We start from the raw sequence: 13,167 nt of genomic DNA, 5'->3' as shown, positions 1-13,167 counted from the left end.
ACGATATGTGCCCTGGAGGCAGTGTGTTAGAGAGTGGAGGTGTGCTGCTCTAAAATGGGTGTCAAGAAAGGCTTCTCTGAGAAAGGGATATTTGAACTGAGATCTGAATGATAGTAACGACTCAGACATTGGAAGATTTGGCTCCAAGATTCCTCCTCTGGATCTACTGTCTGCCCCAACCCCAAGTCACACAGAGCTAATTAGGGAGGGTCCTTGGTGTCTGCAGGAATACAATCCCACCCTCATCTTTTTTTCTTTTTTCTTTTTTTTTTTTTTTTTTTGAGATGGAGTCTTGTTCAGTTGCCCGGCCTGGAGTGCAATAGCGCGATCTCGGCTCACTGCAACCTCCGCCTCTCGGTTTTAAGGGATTCTCCTGCCTCAGCCTCCTGCGTAGCTGGGATTACAGGCGTGAGCCACTGCGCCTGTTTTTTTCTTTTTTCTTTCTTTTTTTTTTGGAGACAGTTTCTCGCTATGTTGCCCAGGCTGCAATTTATACATTGGAGTATATTTAGGTGTGTATATGGCATTCCTGTTTCTCTCACTAAACTGAACCCCTGGAAGGCAGCACCCTGAACTACGTGCCCTTCTATTCTCTGGGCTTCCTGTTGTAGTATAACTGTTAATGTGTCTAGTTTTCACAGAAAAGAAGCAGGTGTTTAGAGGCTGAGGAGTGGGACACAGATGTGGAATCAGTTTGGAAGCCAACTAGAAACTTGCACTAGGTGGGGCACGGTGGCTCACGCCTGTAATCCTAGCACTTTGGGAGGCTGAGGTGGGTGGATCACGAGGTCAGGAGATTGAGACCAACCCGGCTAAAACGGTGAAACCCTGTCTCTACTAAAAATACAAAAAATTAGCCGGGCGTGGTGGCAGGTGCCTGTAGTCCCAGCTACTTGTGAGGCTGAGGCAGGAGAATGGCGTGAACCCGGGAGGCGGAGCTTGCAGTGAGCCGAGATCACGCCACTGCACTCCAGCCTGGGCGACAGAGCGAGACTCCATCTCAAAAACAAACAAACAAAAAATCACAAAAATTAGCTAGGCATGGTGGCAGGTGCCTGTAATCCCAGCTACTCAGGAAGCTGAGGCAGACTGGCTTGAACCCAAGAGAGGACGGTTGCAGTGAGCCAAGATCGCGCCACTGCATTCCAGCCTGGGCGACAGAGTGAGACTCCATCTCAGAAAAAAAAAGAAAAGAAATGAGGATGAAGACGATGATGAACAGATAATTAAACAAAGGAGAGGGAGATGATAGTGGGTGCAGGGAGGGGAAAGATAATGAGGGGTGTGTCCAGGCTCCAGTGAGTGGGATGATACCTGGAATTGACACCTCCTTCCCTCCTGTTTCTCCACAAGTGCTGTCTTACCTGCCAGACAGGTACACCAGAGTGAAGGGAAAAGGAATAGAGGGTGGAGAGAGCAGAGGCGACGCATCCCCAATCTTTAAAAGTAAGACTGACCTCTGCGCTGTCACAGACAGATGGAGCTGGGGTGTGGAAACAGACAACCTGAGTTCCAACCCCCTTGCCCATCTTAGCTGCGAAACCTCACACATGTTTCCTATCTTTTCTGTGCATGTTTTCTCAGTGATCAAATGGAGCTAACCATACTTTCCTCCGTGACTCTCCCAATAAAGATTTGAATCAGGGAAAATCTTTATGCTAGTTTTATTGATAAGAATAGCCTAATTTTATAGGTAAGAATATAAAGGGTCCCCAAGACCACCCCCCAAATTCAATGATTTGTTGGAAGGATTCTCAGGATTCAGCATATAGCTATACTCATGGCTATGATATACATTTTTATTTTTTTGAGACAGGGTCTCACTCTGTCACCCAGGCTGGAGTGCAGTGGCACGATCACGGCTCACTGCAGCTTTGATCCAGGCTCAAGCTATCCTCCCACCTCATCCTCCTGAGTAGCTGGGACTACAGGCAGGCACCACCATGCCTAGCTATTTTTTTTTTTTTTTTTTTGAGATGTGATCTCACCATATTGTGTAGGCTGATCTCAAGCTTCTGACCTCAAGCGATCTGCCCACCTCAGGCTCCAAAGTGCTGGGGTTACACATGTGAACCACCATCCCCAGCTCAGGGCTATGATTTATTACAGCCAGAGAATACAAAGCAAAATCAGCAAAGGGAAAAGGCACATGGGGTGATGTCTGGAGGAAACCAGGGCCAAGTTCCCAAGAGTTATTTCCTGGTAGAGTCACACAGGACACACCTAATTCCTCCAGCAACAAGTTGTGGCAATACTTGTGATATTTATCAACCAGGGAAGCTTGTTAGAACTCAGTCACCAAGTAACTCAGTTTTTACTGGGGGCCAGTCACATAGGTACCCTCTGCCTAGCTCATACCAGATTTCCAGACTCTCATGAACCACATTGTATGTACAAATAGTTCAGGCATAGTCTGTCACTCTGATCAGTTTGATCAGTTCTAGAAATGCTGGGAACACTGCCGAAGTCCAAGTTTCCAGGCACAGCCAAGGGCCAAACTGGCCAGCAGACTTTCTATGGATATCACCCTCAGGCCTGTCGTGTGAATTCTTTTTTGCACAGCCTGCTCACTCCTTGCTCTGCAGAAAAAGAGTAAGTTACTGGCACTGAAGCAGATTTGGAAAGTGCCTAAACTGTCTGGCCACATGGACAAGTGCACAAGGGACCCCAGCATCTTCCAGGTGTTCCAATCCCAGGTTCCTATGAGTCAAATATGGTTCTTTTTCATCTTTGTTTCTGTAATTGGATTCCATCATAGATTGGGCATGTGTCAGCCAAGGGAGCCATTAGGGTGGCAGTTTTTTTTTGTTGTTGTTGTTTTGTTTGTTTGTTTGTTTTGATGGAGTCTTGCTCTGTCGCAATGCAGTGATGCAATCTCAGCTCACTGCAACTTCCGCCTCCTGGGTTCAAGCAATTCTCCTGTCTCAGCCTCCTGAGTAGCTGGGACTACAGGCGCAGGCCACCACACCCGGCTAATTTTTGTATTTTTAGTAGAGACAGGGTTTCACCATATTGGTCAGACTGGTCTCGAACTCCTGACCTCAGGTGATCCACCCACCTCAGCCTCCCAAAGTGCTGGGATTACAGGTGTGAGCTACTGTGCCCAGCCTTTTTTTTTTTCTGAGACGGAGTCTTGCTCTGTCACCCAGGCTGGAGTGCAGTGGTGTGATCTCCACTAACTGCAACCTCCGCCTCCCAGGCTCAAGCAATTCTCCTGCCTCAGCCTCCCAAGTAGCTGGGACTACAGGTGTGTGCCACCAAGCCTGGTTAATTTTTTTTTATTTTTAGTAGAGATGGGGTTTCACCATGTTGGCCAGGCTAGTCTGAAACTCTTGGCCTCAAGTGATCCATCCGCCTTGGCCTCCCAAAGTGCTGGGATTACAGGTGTGATCCACCACGCCTGGCCAAGCTCTTTTAATTTAAGGGATTCAGTCTCACTTGGGAACTGGAAGGCGATTCAGTCAACTGCTCTGACACTCCGTCCTGACTTCTAGCATATGTGAGGCTTCCAGAACATTCCCAAGATGAAGTCATCCTCCTTGTGTTCTCAATGGTTTCAGGATGCTGGGTAGCTCTCCGGCCCTAAGAAGCCCAGGTTTCGAGCTGTGTTGCATTATTCTTTTTTCTTTCTTTCTTTCTATTTATTTATTCATTTATCTATTGAGACAGGGTCTTGCTCTGTCACCCAAGCTGGGGTGCAGTCGTTCAATCACAGCTTGCTGCAGACTTGACCTTCCAGGCTCAAGCAATTCTCCCACCTCAGCCTCCCGAGTAGCTGGGACCATAGGTTTGTGCCACCATGCCCAGCAATTTTTTAAAACTTTTTGTAGAGATGGGGTCTCCTTATGTTGCCCAGTATGGCCTTGAACTCCTAGGCTCAGGCAATCCTCCTGCATCAGCCTCCAGAGTAGCTGGGACTATAGGCATGAGCCACGATGCCCGGCTAATTTTTATTTTTATTTTTATTTTATTTTTGTAGAGATGGGAGTCTCACTATGTTGCCCAGGCTGGTTTTGAACTCCTGGCCTTAAGACATCCTCCCACCTCAGCCTCCCAAAGTGCTGGGCTTACAGGTGTGAGCCATCACACCTGGCTACTATGTTGCATTAAAAGAAATAGTTCATGGACTGGGCACCGAGGCTCATTCCTGTAGTCCCAGCATTTTGGGAAGCTGAGGCAAAAGCATCGAGCCCAGGAGTTCAAGAGCAGCCTGGGCAACATAGCAAGACCCTGTCTCTAGAACAAAAATTTAAAAATTAGGTGGGCTTGGAGATACACACCTGAACCTATCTACTCAGGAGGCTGAGGTGGGAGGATCACTTGAGTCCAAGAGTCACTGGTTGCCATGAGCTACAATTGAGCCACTGCACTCCAGCCTGTGTGACAGAGCAAAACCCAGTCTCTAAAAAAACCAGTCTCTAAAAAAAAGAATAATACATAGTTCAGCAAGAAAAATGTAATTAAAATAATTCTGATCTTTCTTTGCGTTTTCCAAAAAACATTAAAGAGGACAGAATTTATTACCTACAGTGAAATGTCTTAAAATCCCTTTCCCCTCAGATTTTTAAAAATAAAACTTTTAGGCTAGGGGTGGTGGCTCATGCCTGTAATTCCAGCACTTTGGGAGGCCAAGGCAGGCAGGTCACCTGAGGTCAGGAGTTCGAGACCAGCCTGGCCAACATGGTAAAACCCCATCTCTACTAAAAATACAAAAATTAGCTAGGTGTGGTGGCAGGTGCCTATAATCCCAGCGACTTGGGAAGCTGAGACAGGAGAATCCCTTGAACCCAGGAGGCAGAAGTTGCAATGAGCCGAGATCACACCATTGCACTCCAGCCTCGGCAACAAGAGTGAAACTCTACCTCAAAAAAAATAATAATAATAATAGGCCTAGGCCAGGCACGGTGGCTCACACCTGTAATCCCAGCACTTTGGGAGGCTGAGGCGGGTGGATTGCCTGAGCTCAGGAGTTCAAGACCAGCCTGGGCAACACGGTGAAACCCCGTCTCTACTAAAATACAAAAAATTAGCCGGGCATGGCAGCGTACACCTATAATCCCAGCTACTTGAGAGGCTGAGTCAGTAGAATCGCTTGAACCTGGGAAGTGGAGGTTGCAGTAAGCCGAGATTGTGCCACTACACTCCAGCCTGGGTGACAGAGCGAGATTCTATCTCCAAAATATATATATATAAATAATAAATAAAAAAATAAAATAAACATTTCAAATAGCTTTAGATTTTCAGAAAAGTTGCAAAGATAGTATTGAGAGTTACCATATACTGCACCTGATTTTCTCTATCATTAACATCTTATTAATATATCTGTAGGGTACATTTGTCACAACCAGTCAACCAATATTGATACATTATTACTATTTATTATTATTATTTTTTGAGACGGAATCTTGCTCTGTCACCCAGGCTGGAGTGCAATGGTGCGATCTCAGCTCACTGCATCCTCTGCCTCCCAGGTTCAAGCAATTCTCTGCCTCAGCCTCCCAAGTAGCTGGGATTACAGGCACCCACCACCACACCCAGATCATTTTTGTATTTTTAGTAGAGACGGGGTTTCACCATCTTGGCCAGGCTGGTCTTGGACTCCTGACCTCGTGATCCACTGCCTCAGCCTCCCAAAGTGCTGGGATTACAGGCGTGAGCCACTGTGCCCGGCCCTGGCCTATTATTTTTATTGTTATTATTACTCTGAGGCAAGGTCTGGCCCTGTCGCCCAGACTAGAGTGCAGTCGCGCGATCTCGACTCACTGCAACCTCTGCCTCCCAGGCTCAAACGACTCTCTTACCTCAGCCTCCCCAGTAGCTGGGACCACAGGCACATGCCACCACACCCGGCTAACTTTTTGTATTTTTATTCTTATTTATTTATTTTTATTTATTTATTTATTTTGAGATGGAGTCTTTCTCTGTCACCCAGGCTTAAGAACAGTGGCTCGATCTTGGCTCACTGCAACCTCCACCTCCCGGGTTCCAGCGGTTCTCCTGCCTCAGCCTCCCAAGTAGCTGGGATTATAGGCATGTGCCACCATGCCCGGCTAATTTTTGTATTTTAGTAGAGACAGAGTTTCTCCATGTTGGCCAGGATGGTCTTGAACTCCTGACCTCAAGTGATCCACCCACCTTGGCCTCCCAAAGTGCTGGGATTACAAGCGTGAGCCATCAAGCTCAGCCTGACTTTGGCAGTTTTGAGGATTGGTCAGGTATTTTGTAGTCTATCCTTCCATAAGGATTTGTCTGATGTTTCTCTCATGACTGGACTGCATGAAACATTTTTTGTAAGGAAGATCACAGAGGTAAAGTGCCATTCTCATTAAGTCATATCAAGGGTTCATCAAGGTGTTGACCTGGATCACCTGCCTGAGGTTATGTTTGCCAGATTTCTCTGTTGTAAAGTTACTCTTTTTCTTCTTTTTTTCTATTTTCTTTCTTTCTTTTCTTTCTTTTTTTAAGACAGGGTCTGGCTCTGTCGCCCAGGCTGGAGTGCCATGGTGCCATCTCAGCTCACTGCAACCTCCACCTCCCGCGCTCAAGCAATTCTCCTGCCTCAGCCTCCTGAGTAGCTGGGACTACAGGTGTGCGCCATCATGCCTAGCTGATTTCTGTATTTTTAGTAGAGATAGAGTTTAGCCACGTTGCCCAGGCTGGTCTTGAACTCTTGAGCTAAAGTGATCTGCCTGCCTCAGCCTCCCACAGTGCTGGGATTATAGGCACGAGCCACCACACACAGCCAAAATATATCTCTTATCCGTCTTTCTCTCACCTCATCCGTTTCCTACATGAATCTCTCACCCTACTTCTCTGGGTGTCCTCCCAACTGACTATCACAGCTACCTGATAAAGTGTAGGTTGAATAAAGGAAGAGGGGGGAATGCCCACTAGTCAATATCAGAATTCTTGCAGTTGAGGGGCAGAAAGAGGCTGTGTTTCATGTATTGGTTGTTTTGTCCATCTTACATGCATATATGTGAGGATGATTTCTAAAAAGCAGTGCATCGGGGACTGTCCTAAAAGGATCTCATACTTTCTACACACTTTGGGAGGCCAAGGTAGGTGGACTGCTTGAGCTTAGAAGTTCAAGACTTGCCTGGGAAACATGGGGAAACCCCCTCTCAACAAAAAATAACAAAATTAGCAAGGCATGGTGGCGCATTTCTGTGGTCTCAGCTACGCAGGAGGCTGAAGTGGGAGGATTGCTTGAGCCCAGGAAGTCGAGGAGGCTGCAGTGAGCCAAGATCATGCCACTGTACTCCAGCCTGGGCAACAAGAACCCTGTCTCAGAAAAAAAAAAAAAAAAGAGTAAAGAAAAAAAAGCACTACATGTAGTGTCTCATTTAAACCCCACCACACCCTTATTGTGGCTGTTTTGCAGATGGGAAAACAGAGGCTTACAGAGAGATTTCATGCCCAATGTCACGGAGCTAGTAAATGGCAAAGCTGGGGTTAAAAGCCACATCTGACTCCAAATATGGCATGTTTATGGGATGAAGTGAAATGTATTTATAATCCTATGTCTGTAGAAAATAAAATGCAAGGTGGGTGTGGTGGTGTGTGCCTGTGGTCCTGGCTACCTGGGGGACTGAGGCTGGAAGATCACTCGAACCCAGGAGTTCCAGGTTGTGGTGAGCTATGATCAGGCCAAGGCCACTGCATTCCAGCCAAGAAAACCCAGTAAGACCCTGTCTAAAAAAAAAAAAAAAAAAAAAACGCAAAAGAAATGTACCTTCTAAGGCGGGGCACAGGTGGCTCACACCTGTAATCCCAGCACTTTGGGAGGCCCAGGCAGGCGGATCATGAGGTCAAGAGATCGAGACCATCCTGGCCAACATTGTGAAACCCCGTCTCTACTAAAAATACAAAAAAAATTAGCTGGGCGTGGTGGCACGCGCCTGTAGTCACAGCTACTCGGGAGGCTGAGGCAGGAGAATCGCTTGAACCTGGGAGGTGGAGGTTGCAGTGAGCCGAGATCGCGCCACTGCACTCCAGCCTGGGTGACAGTGCGAGACTCTGTCTCAAAAAAAAAAAAAAAAGAAGAAGAAGAAGAAATGTACCTTCTAGTCCTAAAAACACCAATGTGAGTACAATAACATGTTTATAGTCCCAGTTTCCCTGTAGGAGGTTTTTGCTTGAGCAGTCTGAATTGTACAGTTAAACCTTAAACAATCTCCTTATCCTCCATTGAGCTGTATTTCTGTTTTCATTTCACATAAGGCAAAGTAACTTTAAAAATTTTAAACTGTTAGTGTTTCATTCTTGCTTCTGCAAGACTTAATGCTGGCCGGGTGCAGTGGCTCACACCTGGAATCCCAGCACTTTGGGAGGCTGAGGCTGGTGGATCACTTGAGGCAGGAGTTTGAGACCAGCCTGGCCAACATGGTGAAACCCCACCTGTACTATACAAAAATAAAAAAATTAGCCAGGCATGGTGCCGTGCGCCTGTAATCCCAGCTACTCGGGTGGCTGAGGCTTGAGAGACGCTTGAACTTCAGAGGTGGAGGTTGCAGTGAGGCAAGATTGTGCTACTGCACTTCAGCCTGGGCGACAGAGCAAAACTGTCTCAAAAAAGAAAAAGAGTTAATGCCAAGAGAATTGTTAAGGTCTCTGGGTTTGTATCAGTTTTCTATTGCTGTGTAACTAATCAAACTTAGAAGCTTAAAGAACACCCTTTTAGCCGGGCACAGTGGCTCATGCCTGTAATCCCAGCACTTTGGGAGGCCAAGAGGGGTGGATCACCTGAAGTCAGCAGTTCAAGACCAGCCTCGTCAACATGGTGAAACCCCATCTCTACTAAAAATACAAACAAAATAGCCAGGCATGGTGGTGGGCGCCTGCAGTCTCAGCTACTCAGGAGGCTGAGGCAGGAGAATCACTTGAATCTGGGAGGCAGAGGTTGCAGTGAGCCGAGATTGCACCATTGCACTCCAGCCTGGGCAACAATAACAAGACTCCATCTCAAAAAACAAACAAACAAACAAACAAACAAACAAACAAAACCCTTTCATTGGCTCACTGTAGGTTAGTTGTCCAGGAACAGTGTGACTGGATGCTCTGTTTAGTGTCTTGCCAGGCTGTGAATCCAGGCACTGACCAGGCCGCATTCCTCTCTGGAGGCTCTGGGGATGCGTTTGCTTCCAGGCTCATTGAGATTGTTGACAGAATAATTCCCTTGCAGGGGTAGGACTGAGGTCCCTGTTCTCTGGCTGGCTGTTGGCTGGAGGGCTTACCTCAGCCCTTGGAGGTGCCTGCAGTTTCTTGCCTTGGGGTTCCTTCTGTGTGCCTGCTCATGCTTTGAATCCCTTCCTTTGCTTCTGACCTCTCCACATGGATGGATTTAAAGGCTTACGTGATTGAGTAAGCCCCACCCAAATACTCTCCCCCTCAATCTTTTAAAAAAAATCAGAACACTCATTGCATGGCTAATTGTTGAAATTCTTTTTTAAATTTAATTTAATTTAATTTTTGCGGACAGGGTTTCACTCTGTTAGCCAGGCTAGAGTGCAGTGGCACATTCCTGGCTTGGCTCACTGCAGCCTCAATCTCCCTGGTTCGGGTGATCCTCCCACCTCATCCTCCCAAGTAGCTGGAACTACACGCACACACTACAACACCTGGCTAATTTTTTTGTATTTTTTGTAGAGATGAAGTTTCATCAAGTTGCCTGGGCTGGTCTCAAACTCCTGGACTCAAGCACTTTGCCGACCTTGGCCTCCCAAAGTGCTGGGATTACAGGCGTGAGCCACGGCGCCTGGCAACCTGTATACAATTTTTAGGTGCATAATTGAACTGGTCCTAGTGTTTTTTTTTTTTTTTTGTCTTTTATCCCTGGAGCTCCAATTATACTTTCTCTTGTGCTTGGCCGAGTAGCCACATTTGCCACAGGTCAACTTTTGAGGTAGTAGGTCTAGAGCCACAGCAGAGGCTCAATGTGTGCATCTTATTGCGACACTTTCTGAATAATATCATATTATTCCCTTCATTATCTTCTGCTGCCAAGACCAAAGAACAACCTTCTCTTTTCTCCTCTTTCTTTTCTTTTTTTTTTCTTTTTTTTTTGAGACAGGGTCTTGCTCTGTTCCCAGAGCTGGAATGCGGTGGCAGGATCATAGGTCACTCTAACCTTGAACTCCTGGGCTCAAACGATCCTCCTGCCTCTGCCTCCCAAAGTGCTGGGATTAGAGGCATGAGCTGCCACACCCCATTTCTATCTTTTCTTTTCTTTTTTTTATTTTTTGAGACAGAGTCTCACTCTGTCACCTGGGCTGGAGTGCAGTGGTGTGATCTTGGCTCACTGCAACCTCTGCTTCCCAGGTTCAAGTGATTCTCCTGCCTCAGCAACCGACGGCCTCCCAAGTAGCTGGGATTACAGACATGAGTTACCACACCTCCTAATTTTTGTAATTTTGGTCGAGACGGGGTTTTGTCATGTTGGCCAGGCTGGTCTCAAACTTCTGACCTCAAGTGATCCGCCCGCCTTGGCCTCCCAAAGTGCTGAGATTAAAAGTGTGAGCCACTGCGCCCAGCCCAGCTTCTCCCTATCTTAAAGTCAACTGTGACAGATAACATAGCCTAATCACAGGAGTGACATCCCATCACATTTACAGCCCCAGGGACAGGACGTGTATACCAGGGGATGGGACTCCTGGGGACGTCTTAGAATTTTGCCTACCACATTCTCCATTCCTTTATTTATTCACACATCACACATTTATGGAGTACTTGCTCTGCACTGGCCATAGTTCTGGGAGCCGGAGATACAATGGTGAACAAGACACACTTTGTCCCTTAAATCTTACCATCTAGTGTAGTGAGGGAGACAGCAACCAAGGGAACAAAGACAAACAAAGACCAAGGAAACATGAGACCTTGTTATCATGCAGTTAGAACCATCAAGGGGATCTGAAATATACTGATGATCCCTTGGGAGAGAATTAAAACAGGTAGTCTTGGCTGGGCGTGGTGGCTCATGCCTATAATCCCAGTACTTTGGGAGGCCAAGGTGGGTGGATCCCAAGGTCAGGAGATCGAAATCATCCTGGCTAACATGCTGAAACCCCGTCTCTACTAAAAATACAAAAAATTAGCCAGGCGTGGTGGCATACGCTTGTAATCCCATTTACTTGGGAGGTTGAGGCAGAATTGCTTGAACCGGGGAGGCAGAGGTTGCAGTGAGCCAAGATCTCACCACTGCACTCCAGCCTGGGTGACAGAGCAAGACTCCGTCTCAAAACAAACAAACAAACAAACAAAAAAACAACCAATTAGCTGGGCATGGTGGTGGGCACCTGTAATCCCAGCTACTCAGGAGGCTGAGGCAGCAGAATCGCTTGAACCCAGGAGGTGGAGGTTGCAGTGAGCCGAGATGGTGCCACTGCACTCCAGCCTGGGCAACAGAGCAAGACTCCGTCTCAAAAAAAAAAAAAAAAAAAAGACAGTCTTTATTTTTTTTTTATTTGTTTTGTTTTTTGGAGGCAGGGTCTCATTCCATCACCCAGGCTGGAGTAGAGAGGTATGATCATGGCTCACTGCAGCCTCGATCTCCCAGGCTCAAGTGATCCTCCTACTTCAGCCTCCTGAGTAGCTGGGACCACAGGTGCACCACCACACCTAGCTATTTTTTTATTTTTTGTAGAGAGAAGGTCTCCCTATTTTCCCCAGGCTGGTCTTGAGCTCTTGGGCTCAAGTGAGCCTCCTGTCTCAGCCTCCCAAATTGTTGGGATTACAGGTTTATGCCACGGTGCTCGGCTAAAACAGACTTAGAGCAAATGACCATGAGAAGGCTCTCTGAGGAGGTGCCATTCAAGCTGCTCCGTGAGAAGCTGATACAATGAAAAGGTCCATGTGAAGATTATCTAATATACACACCCCCAACATAAAAGTCCACACCCTGTGGTTTTAGGTTTCCTTCTAATCGTATTTAACGTATTTAACAGTGATGCTTGTTTTCAAACCACACCCAAAACCACCATGCACAGTGTATTACTCACTCTGCTTTATTGGGCCTGGTTGGTCTGTGTGGCTTTGGACATTACCTCCTAAATCCCCAAGCAGGAGCTGCACTTCATGGCATGTCAATAATGGCATGTGTGAGTATATGCATTGATCCCACAAACATGCTCCTCTCCTTCCCTTCAGCCTTCTCCTGGAGTCTGGCAGAAACTTAAAGGCTGAAGACAGCCAAATGTAAGATGCATTTCTCCCAATAAGTAACAAATACTGCCAGGACATGTTTTTACTAAATATACACTTAACTGAAGCTGCATTCCAATTTTCCTGCTTTGAATTTGCAGAACCCAAAAGGTCCAATGAGAACCGTCTGGCTCAGGCACAGTGCACCTCACATCTGCACTTCATGGACCATCGTTGAAAATTTCCAACCCCGGTTGGACACTTTCATGATTAAGAATGCACGGCTGTAAGGTTTCAGACCTTGTTACCACACCGTCGGAACCACCAAGGTGCTCTGAAACATAAAATGAACAACCACTTTCTGGTGTTGACTGTGTGCCAGGCACAATCTACATGCAAAAATGAACTGTCCTAGTGACGACCTTCAAAGGACTCCCAGTGGCATACAGGAGACCAACATGGAGAGAGGCAATCATAATACAGGAAGCCTCCTTTAATCAGTTTATTTATTCAACAGAAATTTACCGAGTGCTTACTATGTGCCAGGCACTGTTATAGGTACTAGACATACAGCAGTAAATGAAACAGACACAAAATCCTTGCCCTCATCAAGCTCGTTTTATTCTAAAGGGGTGGATAATAAAGAAATAAATTCATAAAATATATGGGGATCAGATGGTGATAAACCTGATCAAGTAGAGAAGGAAAGGCTGGGAGCAGTGACTCACGCCTGTAATCCCAGCACTTTGAGAGGCAGAGATGGGTGGATCACCTGAGGTCAGGAGTTTGAGACCAGCCTGGCCAACATGGTGAAACCCTGACTCTACTAAAAATATAAAAATTAGCCGGGCGTGTTGGTGGGCATCTGTAACCCCAGCTACGTGGGAGGCTGAGGCACAAGAATCACTTGAACCCAGGAAGCAGAGGTTGTAGTGCCACTGCACTCTAGCCTGGGCAACAGAGTGAGACTGTCTCAAAAAAAAAAAAAAAAAAAAAAAACAGGAGAAGGAAAATCAAGAAGAGAAGAAG

The 13,167-nt window shown here is 46.6% G+C and overlaps 1 annotated feature.

The window, feature by feature from the left end:
• Positions 9,795–10,295: an enhancer, noted in NCBI's record as "H3K4me1 hESC enhancer chr10:120852323-120852823 (GRCh37/hg19 assembly coordinates)". NCBI's record gives its function as "activates a minimal SCP1, AML or CMV promoter by ChIP-STARR-seq in naive H9 embryonic stem cells {active_cell/tissue: H9 hESC(naive)}" and the evidence as "EXISTENCE:reporter gene assay evidence [ECO:0000049][PMID:30033119]".

The sequence above is a fragment of the Homo sapiens genome, chromosome 10 (genome assembly GCF_000001405.40).
Source record: "Homo sapiens chromosome 10, GRCh38.p14 Primary Assembly".
NCBI lineage: Eukaryota > Metazoa > Chordata > Mammalia > Primates > Hominidae > Homo > Homo sapiens.
Note: the sequence above shows the minus strand (reverse complement) of the source record. Positions and strands in the feature narration are given on the sequence as shown.